At 57.0% G+C, this 13,346-nt stretch overlaps 1 protein-coding gene and 1 non-coding gene across 7 annotated transcripts in view, besides 2 other annotated features; both read right to left on the reverse strand.

Annotated features, from left to right (window-relative positions):
• FBXL18 (F-box and leucine rich repeat protein 18) overlaps nt 1-13,346 on the reverse strand; it is a 59,385-nt gene that overhangs the window by 34,748 nt on the left and 11,291 nt on the right. For 3 of the 6 annotated variants that reach the window (NM_001363441.2, NM_001367781.1, NM_024963.6), the window contains exons 3-4: nt 11,316-12,859; nt 2,059-2,277 (exon numbers count right to left, since the gene is read on the reverse strand). In NM_001363441.2, coding sequence (NP_001350370.1) covers nt 2,059-2,277; nt 11,316-12,859 — 1,763 coding nt within the window. Of the gene's footprint in view, nt 1-4; nt 1,290-2,058; nt 2,278-11,315; nt 12,860-13,346 lie in introns of those variants that run through there. The other 3 variants (NM_001321213.2, NM_001363442.2, NM_001367780.1) reach the window with 3 other exon arrangements.
• Nucleotides 5,889-5,968: an enhancer, noted in NCBI's record as "active region_25580". NCBI's record gives its function as "activates an Ori minimal core promoter by ATAC-STARR-seq in GM12878 lymphoblastoid cells {active_cell/tissue: GM12878}" and the evidence as "EXISTENCE:reporter gene assay evidence [ECO:0000049][PMID:35858748]".
• Nucleotides 6,039-6,088: an enhancer, noted in NCBI's record as "active region_25581". NCBI's record gives its function as "activates an Ori minimal core promoter by ATAC-STARR-seq in GM12878 lymphoblastoid cells {active_cell/tissue: GM12878}" and the evidence as "EXISTENCE:reporter gene assay evidence [ECO:0000049][PMID:35858748]".
• Nucleotides 6,647-6,745, reverse strand: MIR589 (microRNA 589). The gene has a single exon (NR_030318.1). It is a non-coding gene; the product is annotated as a microRNA 589 (primary transcript).

Below are 13,346 nucleotides of genomic sequence, written 5' to 3' on the forward strand. Positions count from 1 at the left end.
GCACTGAGAATAATCACTTAGGGCTTTATTTACTGACACAAGAGGACTCCACGGTGTAGTGTTACATTTTTAAAAATCAGATTACAAAACAATATGAGAACCCTATCTCCAGTTCATTCTCCAGGGAAAGTTGGCAGCATTCACTGTTGGGAAACCTTCACTTAAAAATAGGTTGATGTTGGCCAGGCGTTGTGGCTCACGCCTGTAATCCCAGCACTTTGGGAGGCTGAGGTAAGCGGATCACCTGAGGTCAGGAGTTAGAGACCAGCCTGGGCAACATGATGAAACCCCGTCTCTACTAAAAATACAAAAATTAGGCCGGGCGCGGTGGCTCACGCCTGTAATCCCAGCACTTTGGGAGGCCGAGGTGGGCAGATCATGAGGTCAGGAGATCGAGACCATCCTGGCCAACACAGTGAAACCCCGTCTCTACTAAAAAAAAAAAAAATACAAAAAATTAGCCAGGTGTGGTGGCGGGCGCCTGTAGTCCCAGCTACTTGGGAGGTTGAGGCAGGAGAATGTCGTGAACCCGGGAGGCAGAGCTTGCAGCGAGCCGAGATCACGCCACTGCACTCCAGCCTGGGCGACAGAGCGAGACTCTGTCTCAAAAAAGAAAAAAAGAAAAATACAAAAATTAGCCAGGTATAGTGGTGCACACTTGTAATCCCAGCTGCTCAGGAGGCTGAGGTTGCAACCCAGAAAGCAGAGGTTGCAGTGAGCTGAGATCCCGCCACTGCACTCCAGCCTGGACGACAGAGTGAGACTCTGTCTCAAACAAACAAACAAGAAAAAAGATTGATGCATAGTCTAAATTTTTAAAAAGTACTCTATAAACACAAGTTGTTTTTACAACCAGAGAGGGGGAAACCCCAACCAGGATTATTCCTGAGACAGCCAGCGGCCGACCGCAAGGACAACAGACTACCCCAGAGTCTGGCAAGCAGGGTTGTCGGCGCCCAGTGGCTCGAGACGTCCTGGCTGATGGCTCTTCTCGCAACTCTGTGAACAGCTGGGGCCTCCTTCCTGTCACCTCTCCCCACCTGCAGGGACACGAACACTCAGGGCGTTCATGTCCTGCTGCCCCCTTGGCCGGGCGCACGCCTCTCTCAGGAGCCCTGATCACTCCAGCAGTCAGCCCGTCCTCCTGAGAGGTCTTGAAATGCGTCACTCCCCACATCGCCTACCAAGCTCCAGCTCTCTCCAGGAATCGCCTCCTCCTAATTTGTGTTCAATTCTAGGTGCTCACCTGACTTCCTGCGCAGCAGCAGAGCATCAAACTCCAGGATGCCCTGTCACGAGGGGAAGCGGAGATGCTAGCTAGCTAAGGGAAGAGGGGCCAGACTATGTGGGCCTTCCAGAAAGGGCCTGACAGCAGGTGGCGAGGGAGAGGGAGAAGGAAAGGTTCTCTGTTCAATCTACCGCCTTTACCCACAACTGCCCAAGTAAGCACTGCTTCTAGATCCAAACAACGGGCAGAGATGTGAAAAATCCAGAGTTAAAGATGGTTGCAGGCTGGGTGCGGTGGCTCATGCCTGTAATCCCAGCACTTTGGGAGGCCGAGGCAGGCGGATCACCTGAGGTCGGGAGTTCGAGACCAGCCTGACCAACATGGTGAAACCCTATCTTTACTAAAATACAAAATACATGCTGGTGGCGCAGGCCTGTAATCCCAGCTACTCAGGAAGCCAAGGCAGGAGAATCGCTTGAACCCGGAAGGCGAAGGTCGCAGTGAGCCGAGATTTCGCCACTACACTCCAGCCTGGGCAACACAGTGAGACTCCGTCTCAAAAGTAATAATAATAATAAGAAGAAGACTTTTGTACTTGTGGGAGAGGAGAGCTTGAACTATCTAGAAAATTTACCATGTGGCTAGGGAATGCTCAAGGAGCAGAGGCTGGGCCGTGGGAGACCAAACCCCTTGCTTTCACCCTGTCACTGCCTGGTGCTCGTCAATTCCAAGAAACCACTGGTAGGCACTCGGTGAAGGCTGGGGACCAGGTCACGGGATGCTGGTGATTTCTGCGGCCCCTGAAGCTGTACGCAACCCACATCACTCACCTGCGGAGAAGCGACTGCTGCAGGCTCTTGCAGGTGGCGAGGGACTCCCCGGTGAACAGGTGGCACATGACAACCTGCAGGCAGCGAGCCATGAAGGCCAGCACGGCATCGGGCTGGAGGGTGCCGCTGCGAGAGACCAGGCACAGGCGCTGCAGCGAGGGGCACTGGCTCAGCGCCTGGAAGAACTGGGCGTTGGCGCTGAAGTAGGGCTGCTCCAGCCTGCGGGGAGAGAGGGCAGCTGTGAGGTCCGAGGGAGGGGCTCGCAGGCCAGGCCAGCTGGGCGTCTGGAGGTGCTGCCAGTGGAAGCTTCCTGGCCTGGGGCCCAGCCCAGCTGTTCCCGCCACCTCCCACCAATACCACTATCCCTTGGAGTACTGGGTGCCGACTCAGGCCCCCAGGGTCCCCCTTGGAGATCTGATTTGGAGGCGACCCGGTGGGCCTGATGCAAGCAGCCAGCCAGTGTCTACAGAGCCCGGCTTCAAGTCACCAGCCGAGGCCATCAGCATCTGTGTCCGCAGCCTGCCTGGTGCACCCCAATGACCCCCAGGCACCCTATCTTCCTCAAACGCTGGTGTGCTGGGCAGCGGATGCAAAGAGGACCCCACACATGGCCCCTGCCCTTGGGAAGCTCAGCTGGACAGGGAGGCAGATAAGGACTGAACACCATGAGAGAGGGCGGTAATCCGGGAGGCTGGTGTGGGGGAGGGAGAGGGCGAGAATCTGGGAGGCAGGGGGTAAGGTGGGCAGGAACTTCAGCCAGATGGGGGCCACTTCAGCCACGACAGATGGGAGGACAGCGCTGGATGGCTGCAGGGCCAAAGGAGGAGGCCGAGGGGAGTGGGGCCAAGCTAAGAGGTTGGCAGCCAGGGCAGGGGGGAGGCCCAAGTCCGCACCAAGGCTACAGTGACAGAGACCAAGACGGGAGAACCCAGGGGAAAGGGGAGGACTTGGGAAAGGGAAGTAGGGGACGACATTCTAGATCCTTCCTGGGGAGTCTGTCCATGCAGACAGAAAGCAGAAGGACAGGCCATGTCTCGAAGTACAGTGGCAGATGTGGGGATGTGGCGCTGCTGAGGACAGGCCCGGGGGGCCCTTGGAGAACCAGGCTGTGGGACTGGGCAAGACCTGGACTGTGGCAGGTTGTGGGGTGCAGCGAGCCCCTGAGATAAGAATCAAGAGGGAGCAGAGAGGCTGGAGGGGAACTCACGTGACTTCAGGGGCTGCCAGGAACTCCCGGGGTGGGGGGAGGAGCCGCTGGAGGGACGGGCTGAGGCGAATGGGGAGGGGCTAGTGTGGACTGAGCTGCGACGCCCCCCCACACACACACTATGCAGGAGTCCTCACCTTGGGACCTGAGGGTGTGGCCTTATTTGGAGGCAGGTTTGTTGCGGATGCAAGGGAGTTAAGAGGAGGATGCATCCTGCATGATGGGGACTCTAAATCTAATGACTGGTTCCTTATAAGGCCAGGTGAAGGCACAGAGATACCCAGACACAGACAGAAGGCGGCCAGGTCACAACAGAGGCAGAGACTGGGGCCACGTGTCCACCAGCCAAGCAGTGCCAGGCGTGGCTGGCAGGCGCCCGAGTTCCTCCTCACCATCCTCAGAAGGAATGAACCATCCCTGCCCATAGCCTGATTTGGGGCCTCTGGGCTCCAGAATCGTGAGACAATAAATGCCTGTTGCATGAAGCCACTCAGTTTGTGATCAATTGTCCTGGCAGCCCCAGGATCCTAGCACAGATGCTGAGGGCAGCCACAGCAGAAGGCGCCACAGGCATGGAGATTCTTCCCTGGTAGGTGACACAAAAAGACCAAGTCACGGCGGGCATGGTGGCTCACACTTATAATCCCAGCCCTTCAGGAGGCCAAGGCAGGAGGATCACTTGAGCCCAGGAGTTTGAGAAGAGCCTGGGCGACATAGTGAGAGCCCAGCTCTACAAAAAGTACAAAAATTATCCAGCCATGGTGGCACGCACCTGTACTCCCAGCTACTCGGGAAGCTGAGGTGGGAGGATCGCTTGAGCCCAGGACTTCGAGGCTGCAGTGAGCTAGGATCGTGCCACTGCACTCCAAGCTGGATGACAGAGCAAGACAGTCTCGATCTGTTGCCCAGGCTGGAGTGCAGTGGCGTGATCTCAGCTCATTGCAAGCTCCCGGGTTCACGCCATTCTCCTGCCTCAGCCTCCCGAGTAGCTGGGACTACAGGCGCCTGCCACCGCACCCAGCTAATTTTTTGTATTTTTAGTAGAGATGGGGTTTCACCGTGTTAGCCAGGATGGTCTCAATCTCCTGACCACTTGCTCCACCCGCCTCAGCCTCCCAAAGTGCTGGGATTACAGGCGTGGGCCACTGCACCTGGCCAAAATTTTTTTTTTAAAAGAATAAAGGAAGTGTGGCTCATGAGAGACTGGTTATTTACTTTTGTGTGTGTGTGCGTGCGTGCGTGCGTGCGTGTGTGTGTGTGGAGACAGGGGTCTCACTATGTTGCCCAGGCTGGTCTCCAACTCCTGAGCTCAAGCAATCCTCCTGCCTCAGCCTCCCAAAGTGCTAGGATTATAGGCGTGAGCCACCATGCCTGGTAGTTAATTTTCTTTTAATTGATTTAAGCAGAAATTCTCAGCCAGGTGCGGTGGCTCACGTCTATAATCCCAGCACCTTGGGAGGCTGAGGCAGGCGGATCACCTGAGGTCAGGAGTTCGACACTGGCCAACATGGCAAAACCCTGTCACTACTAAAAATACAAAAATTAGCCAGGCAGGCCGGGCACGGTGGCTCATGCCTGTAATCCCAGCACTTTGGGAGGCCGAAGAGGGCAGATCACCTGAAATCGGGAGTTTGAGACCAGCCTGACCAACATGGAAAAACCCCATCTCTACTAAAAATACAAAATTAGCTGGTCGTGGTGGCACACACCTGTAATCCCAGCTACTCGGGAGGCTGAGGCAGGAAAATCGTTTCTACCTGGGAGGCAGAGGTTGCGGTGAGCCAAGATGGCACCATTGCACTCCAGCCTGGGCAACAAGAGTGAAACTCCATCTCAAAAAAAAAAAAAAAAATTAGCTGGGCGTGGCGGGGCATGCCCATTATCCCAGCTACTGGGGAGGCGAAGGCAGGAGAATTGCTTGGAGGCAGAGGATGCAGTGAGCTGAGATCACACCACTGCACTCCAGCCTAGGTGACAGAGCGAGACTCTGTCTCACACAAAAAAATAAATAAATAAAATTAAATAAATAATAAAATAAAACATCCAAATTGTCTTTATTTTTCTATATTTGTTTTGTTAAGCTATTCAGATTGTTTTTATTTAAAGATAGTAATAAAATGTTTTCATTACGTATATTTTAAATACCACCTCTCCCTAAAAAAATCCTAAAGTAAACAACCCTTTGCAGACCGGAAGGTGGGAAACGGGAAGGGGTAAAAAAGACGGTGCAGGCGCCGCACCTGCTGAGCTGCAAAGTCACCTCTGGATTTCTCTCCAAAGCAAAAGCAGGAGGCTCCAGACAGCAGGAGATGGAAACGGGGCGTTGGGCAAGGACGGTGCCGTCGTGTGGTCACTAGGTGGCGATGCGGCTCCGTGCTACCCGCCCCAGATCGCCCCGAGCCTCTGGGGTTAAAAACCAAGTCTGCAGAGCGTGGAAAAAAAACCTTTTTTCCACGAGATAACCACATCCACATTCTTCCGCCCCGGAGGAAGTCACCTGTCACAGGTGTTCAGGATGTGGCAGGCCCACGGGAGTGACTGGTCAGGCAGCGGGCCTGGCACGTCTAAAGCTTCCTAGGCTCCCACAGCACGCCGCCTGGGGCACGGCACCCAGGACGGTGGCAGAGCTGACCTGACTCGAGTGACCGGCAGCGTCTGCAGGGAGGATGGGGACGAGGAAAAGGCTCCCACTGCGCCGGGCCTCACCTTTGAGTGAGGATCCAGCCTCCCCATTCTGCTCCCTGAGGGGGCACCTGGGTCTCCTGGTGACTCTGTGGGCATGAAAGGTGCTGAGCTCACAGTGCGGGGGCTCCCATCTGGCCACCCACTGCACGGGCCGTGAGAGCAGCACCCAGGCCTCCGAGGTGTCCCTAGGGTGGCTCCGGGGCCTGGCTCTGAAAAGGATGGCCCGCTTCTGCCCAGACGCTGCCCTGGTCACGCTCACAGCAGCCCGGGTGACTCAGGGTGACACGCTCCCCCGCCCTCCACCGCAAGCAGGGCTTAGCTGGTCTAGGGAAAGAAGGTGTCTTTTCTGCCCAATTTGTAATCCCCTTACTACTGAGGTGTGTCCAAGTCCCAGCCAGAGCGACTCCTTCCTGCACCACCCCCTCCCTGCCAGGAGCCCCAGCAAGCACAAAGCTGGGGGTCACGGTGTGGGGGCTGCCAGTGGCAGCAGGTGGCTGGCGTGGGATTCCAAGCTCTGCCACCAAAGAGACTCCGGCCGCCCCAGGATGCGGCCTCGGAGCATCGTGCCAGCCTCCAGGGATCCCAGCGCCGTTTCCTCTGCACAGCTCCTGCCCACGGGCAAGCGAGTGCCACCTGCTCCTTCCACTGCAGCGTCCGGGCTCCCTTGCCGCAGAAGGCAGGAATCCAGAGGAACGGGGCCAGCTGGCAGCGTCTGGGAACCGGCATTTGTTCTGAACAGGCAGTACCCAGCTCAGAGCAGACGTGGTTCTCAGGGGCTGCTGGGCACAGGCTGGAGTTTGTCCACAGAGATGGCATTATGAGCAGGGTCGGTCTCTCAGGCTGGCCCACAAAACCCACAAAACCCACAGAACCCGCAGGCCTCTCCGCGCCTTCTCCATGGCCCTGCTCCTGAGGAAGGCCCTTGGCCACGGGGATTCCGTCCCAGACTCCGGAGGCCATCGGGGACCATGAAATCACGCTGACCTCGGGAGGCCGGAGACAAGCAGCCATGTGACCTAGGCAAGTTCATGCACTCTCTGGGCCTTACTTTCTTCATCCATTAAGTGGGTACAACTGTGTCGACACTCAGAGGTTGTTGAGAATATCAAAGGGGTCAAGACCTGTACACCCATGAAAAGCACCTGGCAGAGGTCACATGAGCCCAAAGGTCCCCTCCACCCGCGGTGGCTGCCGTCACCTCTGCCTCTTGCTTCCGGAACACCCCCTCCCTCCGGCCAGTGCCTCCCTTGCTGACAGCCTCTGCTCGGTCTCCCTTCCACATTCTTCTTCCTCTTCCTGGCCAATCCTTGTCACGTGTGCCCCAGCCCAATCCGTGGGCTCACCTGGATCCATAGGTGGCTAAAGGCCACCTATGAGCTGAGGACGCCAAAGCAACTCTCCCAGGCCAGACCTCAGCCTGGACTCAGGGCTTGGCTTAGGCCCATCAACTAGGAGGCCACACTTAACAGACTCTCCGGACCGGGCACAGTGGCTCACACCTGTGATCCCAGCCCTTTGGGCGGCCCAGGCAAGAGGATCACTTGAGCCCAGGAGTTCAAGACCAGCCCGGGCAACACAGCAAGACCCCGTCTCTACAAAAAATACAAAAAACTAGCCAGGCGGCCGGGCACAGTGGCTTACGCCTGTAATCCCACCACTTTGGGAGGCCGAGGTGGGCGGATCACCTGAGGTCAGGAGTTCGAGACCAGCCTGGCCAACATGGTGAAACCCCGTCTCTACTAAAAATACAAAAAAAAAATTAGCCGAGTATGGTGGTGGGCACCTGTAATCCCAGCTACTCTGGAGGCTGAGACAGGAGAATCGCTTGAATCCAGGAGGCAGAGGTTGCAGTGAGCTGAGATCATGCCATTGTACTCAAGCCTGGGTGACAGAGTGAGACTCTGTCTCAAAAAAAAAAAAAAAAAAAAACTAGCCGGGCATGGTCGCATGTGCCTATAGTCCCAGCTACTCGGGAGGCTGAGGTGGGAGGATCACCTGAGCCAGAGAAGGTCGAGGCTGCAGTGAGCTGTGATCATGCCACTGCACTCCGGTCTGGGAGACAGAATGAGACCATTTTTAAAAAAAAAAAGTGGGAAAGCCCAAATTTTACATGCATTTTGCGTCAAATTTCTAAAGCAGGGAGATTCTGAAAAGTCGCCCGTCTGGTTCTCAAAGCAGTCGCCCGTCCTGGTTCTCCAGGATGCCTGGGTCAGAGCATGAATAACCACCCCGCTCCCCACGCACGGAGCCTCGCAGTGGCTCGAGCTGAGAATCAAAGCGGCCGATCCAGGGCCTGGTGACTCCACCAGACAGGAAATACAGAGGCTTCTAGCAATCTGCTCTGCCATTTGAAAGTCCTGGGTTTGATCCTGCGCTTCTCAACCCAACACTAACAGGTCTGCAGTGGGAGGAGGTCGAGAGGGAGGGTGGCGCCAAGCTGGCTGCATGGCCGGGGGACTCCAGGGTGTGAGCCTCCAGCTCGGCTGCTCCCGAGCAGACCCGGCCACTTCCTGCCATGCCTTCTGCGGGAGAGGGGAGATTTACAAGGGGCGCCCTTATCTCTACTCTGCATGGCTCCAGGGCCAAGGTCAAGCACCGGTGTTTGCGAGAGACTCAGCTCCCCCTGAGCTCCCACAGCCTCATCTGGGAAATGGGAATGATCAAGGCTGCAATCGCAGCAGATTATGGCAGGGAGGATGGGCTCAGTGCATGGCTCTCAGCAAAGGCACAAGGTGAATGCTAACTATTCTGGGGACAATGACACGTGCCCACGTGCCCCTTAGGCTGGAGCATGACTTCATGTACCCGCAACCCACCCCACCAGCTAAGGACTCACAGAGACACCAGCTCACTCATCTAAGCCCTGCCTCCACTTTCTCCCCCACCCAGTCCCTGGTAGTACTGAGGCTCAAGGCCTTCACTACCTTTTGGGTAATTTTTTTTCTTTTTTCTTTTTACTTTTTTTTTTTTTTTTTTGAGACCGAGTCTCACTCTGTCACCCATGCTGGAGTGCAGCGGCCAGTGGCGCGATCTCGGCTCACTGCAAGATCCGCCTCCCGGGTTCATGCCATTCTCCTGCCTCAGCCTCCTAAGCAGCTGGGACTACAGGCGCCCACCACCACGCCCAGCTAATTTTTTGTATTTTTAGTAGAGACGGGTTTCACCGTGTTAGCCAGGATGGTCTCGATCTCCTGACCTTATGATCCACCCGCCTCGGCCTCCCAAAGTGCTGGGATTACAGGCGTGAGCCACGGCGCCCGGCCGAGGCCATTTTGATTTTTACTTTAAAGGCTCGCCACATGGACAAAGGCCAGGGGGCTTCACACGCTCAGTCAACTCCAGGTACAGACCCCACCTATTCAGGGCTCTTCGCGTGTTCTGGCCTCCCTGGCAAAGTGCTGGGATTACAGGCGTGAGCCGCCACGCCCGGCCCATTTGGGGTAATTTTTCTTTTCTTTGCTTTTCTTTTTGAGAGTCTCACTCTGTCACCCAGGCTGGAGTGCAGTGGTGTGATCTGGCTCACTGCAACCTCTGCCTCCCGGGTAAAGAGCAATTCTCCTGCCTCAGCCTCCTGAGTAGCTGGGACTACAGGTGCCTGCTCCCACGCCCCGCTAATTTCTGTATGTTTTTGGTAGAAACAGAGTTTTACCATGTTGGCCAGACTGGTTTCCAACTCCTGACCTTAGATGATCCGCACACCTTGGCCTCCCAAACTGCTGGGATTACAGGAGTGAGCCACCATGCCCAAACCCATTTTGGGTAATTTTTCAAGATCAGATTTATTGGCCAAGATTTTCAAATTCATCTCAAGTTAACGAATTCTTATTCCTTAAATACTAGGAACGGACAAGAACACCGTTCACTCCACAGCACAATTCAGCATAAATTCATGTTGTGCTTGGCTCTGGAAATGCCATGGGCCCTGGACACTGTCTGGTGTGGAGCTCTCCCAGGCCTGTTGTTCCACCTCCTCCCCGCTCTGGGATGGGTCCTGCTCCTAGTCCCAAGGACCATCACCTCCCAGGAGTCTGTGGTCCCCCTCCTGAGCCGACCTCTCCTGTCTCCTCCATCCTGTGCCCTGAAGTCCATCTGGGATGCCCAGGGAGGCTGCTCCCTCTCCCGGGTGAAACCCCTCGGCACTGTTGCCCACCTTCCTTGTCTGCCCCATCTTCCCTACTCCCTCCCACCTCCCATTGTGCCCTGGACCCTCTGAACCGACTGCTCTCTGAAACGACTGCTCTCTGAACCGACTGCTCTCTGACATACTTCCAAGTCTCTGGGGTTTCTTCACATGGTACTTACTGACCCAGAAAGCATCTGCCTTGCCAGGCGTGGTGACTTATGCCTTGTAATCCCAGAACTTCGGGAGGCTGAGGCAGGTGAATCACCTGAGGTCAGGAGTTCAAGACCAGCCTGGCCAATACTGCAAAACCCCGTCTCTACTAAAAATACAAAAAAATTAGCCAGGTGTGGTGGTGCACACCTGTAGTCCCAGCTGCTCGGGAGGCTGAGGTGGGAGAATCGCTTGAACCCAGGAGGCAGGGGTTGCAATGAACCAAGATCGCGCCACTGCACTCCAGCCTGGGTGTGTAGAATGAGACTCTGTCTCAAAAAAAAAAAAAGAAAAAAAAAAAAAAAGCAAAGATGGAGGCCAAGGGTGGTGGCTCACACCTGTAATCCCAGCACCAGCACTTTGGGAGGCCGAGATGGAGGATCACTTAAGCCCAGGAGTTCAAGACCAGTCTGGGCAACATAGTGAGACCTTGTCTGTACACAATTTTAAAAATATATATATAGCCAGGCATGATGGCATATGCCTGTAGTCCCAGCTACTTGATAGGCTGAGGTAGGAGGATTAATTGAGCCCAGGAGATTGAGGATGAAGTGAGCTATGATGGCACCACTGCACTCCAGCTTGGATGACAGAGCGAGACCCTGTCTCAAAAATAAATAAATAAATAAAATTTAAATTAAAAAAAAAAAAGGAATTGCATTGCAAAGTCAGGTCAGAAAGGCCTGGGTTCGAATCCTGCCTCCCCCACCTACTGGCTCTGCTGAGTGGCAACAATGATGCACCTGGCAGGGTCCTGAGACGATTTCACAGGATGACTCATAGTAGGGCCAGGCAGTCACTCAAACACTATCAGGAATAAAGACACTAAGCTCAGACATCCGCCTCCTGCACCCCCAGCTCCTCTAGATGCCGCTCTCCCCAGAGCCCCGAGACCGACGTGGCACGCTGCGAGGCCCCGCCCCAGCCTCTGCACTCCTGGAGGGCAGGCCAGCCACCGAACTCCACGCGAACGCCCCAGTTCCCTCCGCCAGCTTCCAGCAGAGGCCCGAGAGGTCCCCGCGGCCCCCTCACCTGAGGTCCCTCAGCCGCTTGCAGTGCTTCAACATGTCTGAGAGCGCGGGCATGTACACCACCTTCCCCATCATGCCCAGGTTGGCCAGCGACAGGGACCGCAACTGCTGGCACTGCAGGCCGATATTGACCAGCCCGGAGCCCGTAAGGACGCTGGGCAGCTGTGCGAGCGTCAGGTGCCGCAGGAAGGCCAGCTGGCCGATGGCGGCCACCTCCGAGTCCCCGACACTCTGTGCGCGGCTGCAGGGTGGGAGCGAGTTGCGGATGGCGGGCTCGTTGCGGGGCATGGCGGAGGAGAAGTTGGACCCAATCAGCTCGAGGTGTTCCAGGAAGGGCAGGTTCTTCAGCAGAGACCAGAACACGGAGGAGGGCTGGGGGCACGCCTGGCCCGAGAAGGGGCTGGGACAGGACTGCACGCCCACACGCACTTTCTTGCCAAAGCCGCGCGGCACTGCGTGCATGGCCGGCTGGGCGGGCGCGCGGTCGGCGCGCGGCGCGGAGTCAGCGACAGAGCAGACAGGCAGGGAGAGGGAGCGCAGGTGACGCAGCCGGGCCAGGAGCTGGCAGAGGTGGCGGCCCAGGCCCTCCGAGCTGTGGTGGTGGGCGGCCGAGAGGTTCAGGTGGCGCAGGTTGCAGCAGGACGCCACCAGAGTCTCCAGGATGCTGCTGTCGATGTCGTCCTCCGCCTTGCGGAGCAGCGAGTCTGGGGACAGGCAGTGGACGCAGCCGCTGAGGTTCAAGCTGGCCAGGCTCCGCAGGTCCTTCCCGCCGTTGATGACCTGCTGGATCAGATGGCCGCCTGACAGGGTACAGCGGCTGAAACTGAAGTAGAACGGGTTGTTGAATTTCATGTGCTGCAGGAGGGAAGAGCCGTTCAGCCAGGACTTGGGCAGCTGCAGGGCATCCAGCACGACATTGCGCGCCATGGAGTCCAGGAGGTTCTTGGTGGCGCCGCTCTCCGCGAAGCTGCCAGGGACGGAGATGAGGAAGGCGTGGAGGTTCTGAGGAGTGCGGTCGCTAAGCACAGCCAGGTAGAGCCGCACCACCTCCTGGTTGATGTAGCCGGGGGCCAGGCGCGCATAGAAGACCCGCAGGTTCTGGTAGTGCGGCACGTTGCTCTGGCCCACCATAAGCTGGCCCGAGAGGATGGCGCCCTCGCGCGTGCGGTCCAGAATCTCGAAGTAGAGCAGCAGCTTCTCTAGGCTGGTGCAGCAGGGCACCACGCCGTAGGAGGGAGTGAACAGCGTCTGCTTGAGCTCCCGCACGCGGCTCAGGGTGGCCTTGCACTCGCTGCTCAGCTGGCTGGCGTCGAAGCCGGGGCTCACGTCGATGGCCAGCGAGCGCAGGTGCTGCAGGGCCGAGAGCATCTTGGAGAGGCGCAGGGAAGTGAGGTGGCAGCCCGAGAGGTTCACCTTCACCAGGCTGCGGCAGCGGGCCACGTGTTCCACGGTGGAGCCAGGCAGCCAGTAGCAGCCAGCCATGCTCAGCTGCTGGATCTCCCGGCCGATCTCCTTCACCAGCTGCCTCACTTTGTCCTCGCTCGCCTGCGGGACAGAGGCAGGGTGGGGAGAGGAAGGAAAGGGCTGAAGGCACCTACGGGTCTCCAACCCTCAGTGCGCACACTCCCCCTTGCAGCAGCTGCTCCACCGGGAGGGAAGCTCCCCACCTCTCGCTGCCTACCTGCCCGCACTCTGACCTGGAGCCAAGAGTCCCCAGCTAAGTGGGACTGGTAGAGGGGTGCAGCCACGGTAGAAAACGGTTTGGCAGGTGGGCACGGTGGCTCATGCCTGTCATCCCAGCACTTGGGGAAGCCAAGGCAGATGGATCACCTGAGGTCAGGAGTTCGAGACCAGCCTGGCCAACATGGTGAAGCCCGATCTCAACTGAAAATACAAAAACTAGTCAGGCATGGTGGTGTGCGCCTTTTATCCCAGCTACTCCAGAGGCGAAGGCAGAAGAATCGCTTGAACCTGGGAGGTGGAGGTTGCAATTAGCCAAGATCTTGCCACTACACTCCAGCCTGGGCAACAG

Source organism: Homo sapiens, chromosome 7 (genome assembly GCF_000001405.40).
Source record: "Homo sapiens chromosome 7, GRCh38.p14 Primary Assembly".
NCBI classification, from domain to species: domain Eukaryota; kingdom Metazoa; phylum Chordata; class Mammalia; order Primates; family Hominidae; genus Homo; species Homo sapiens.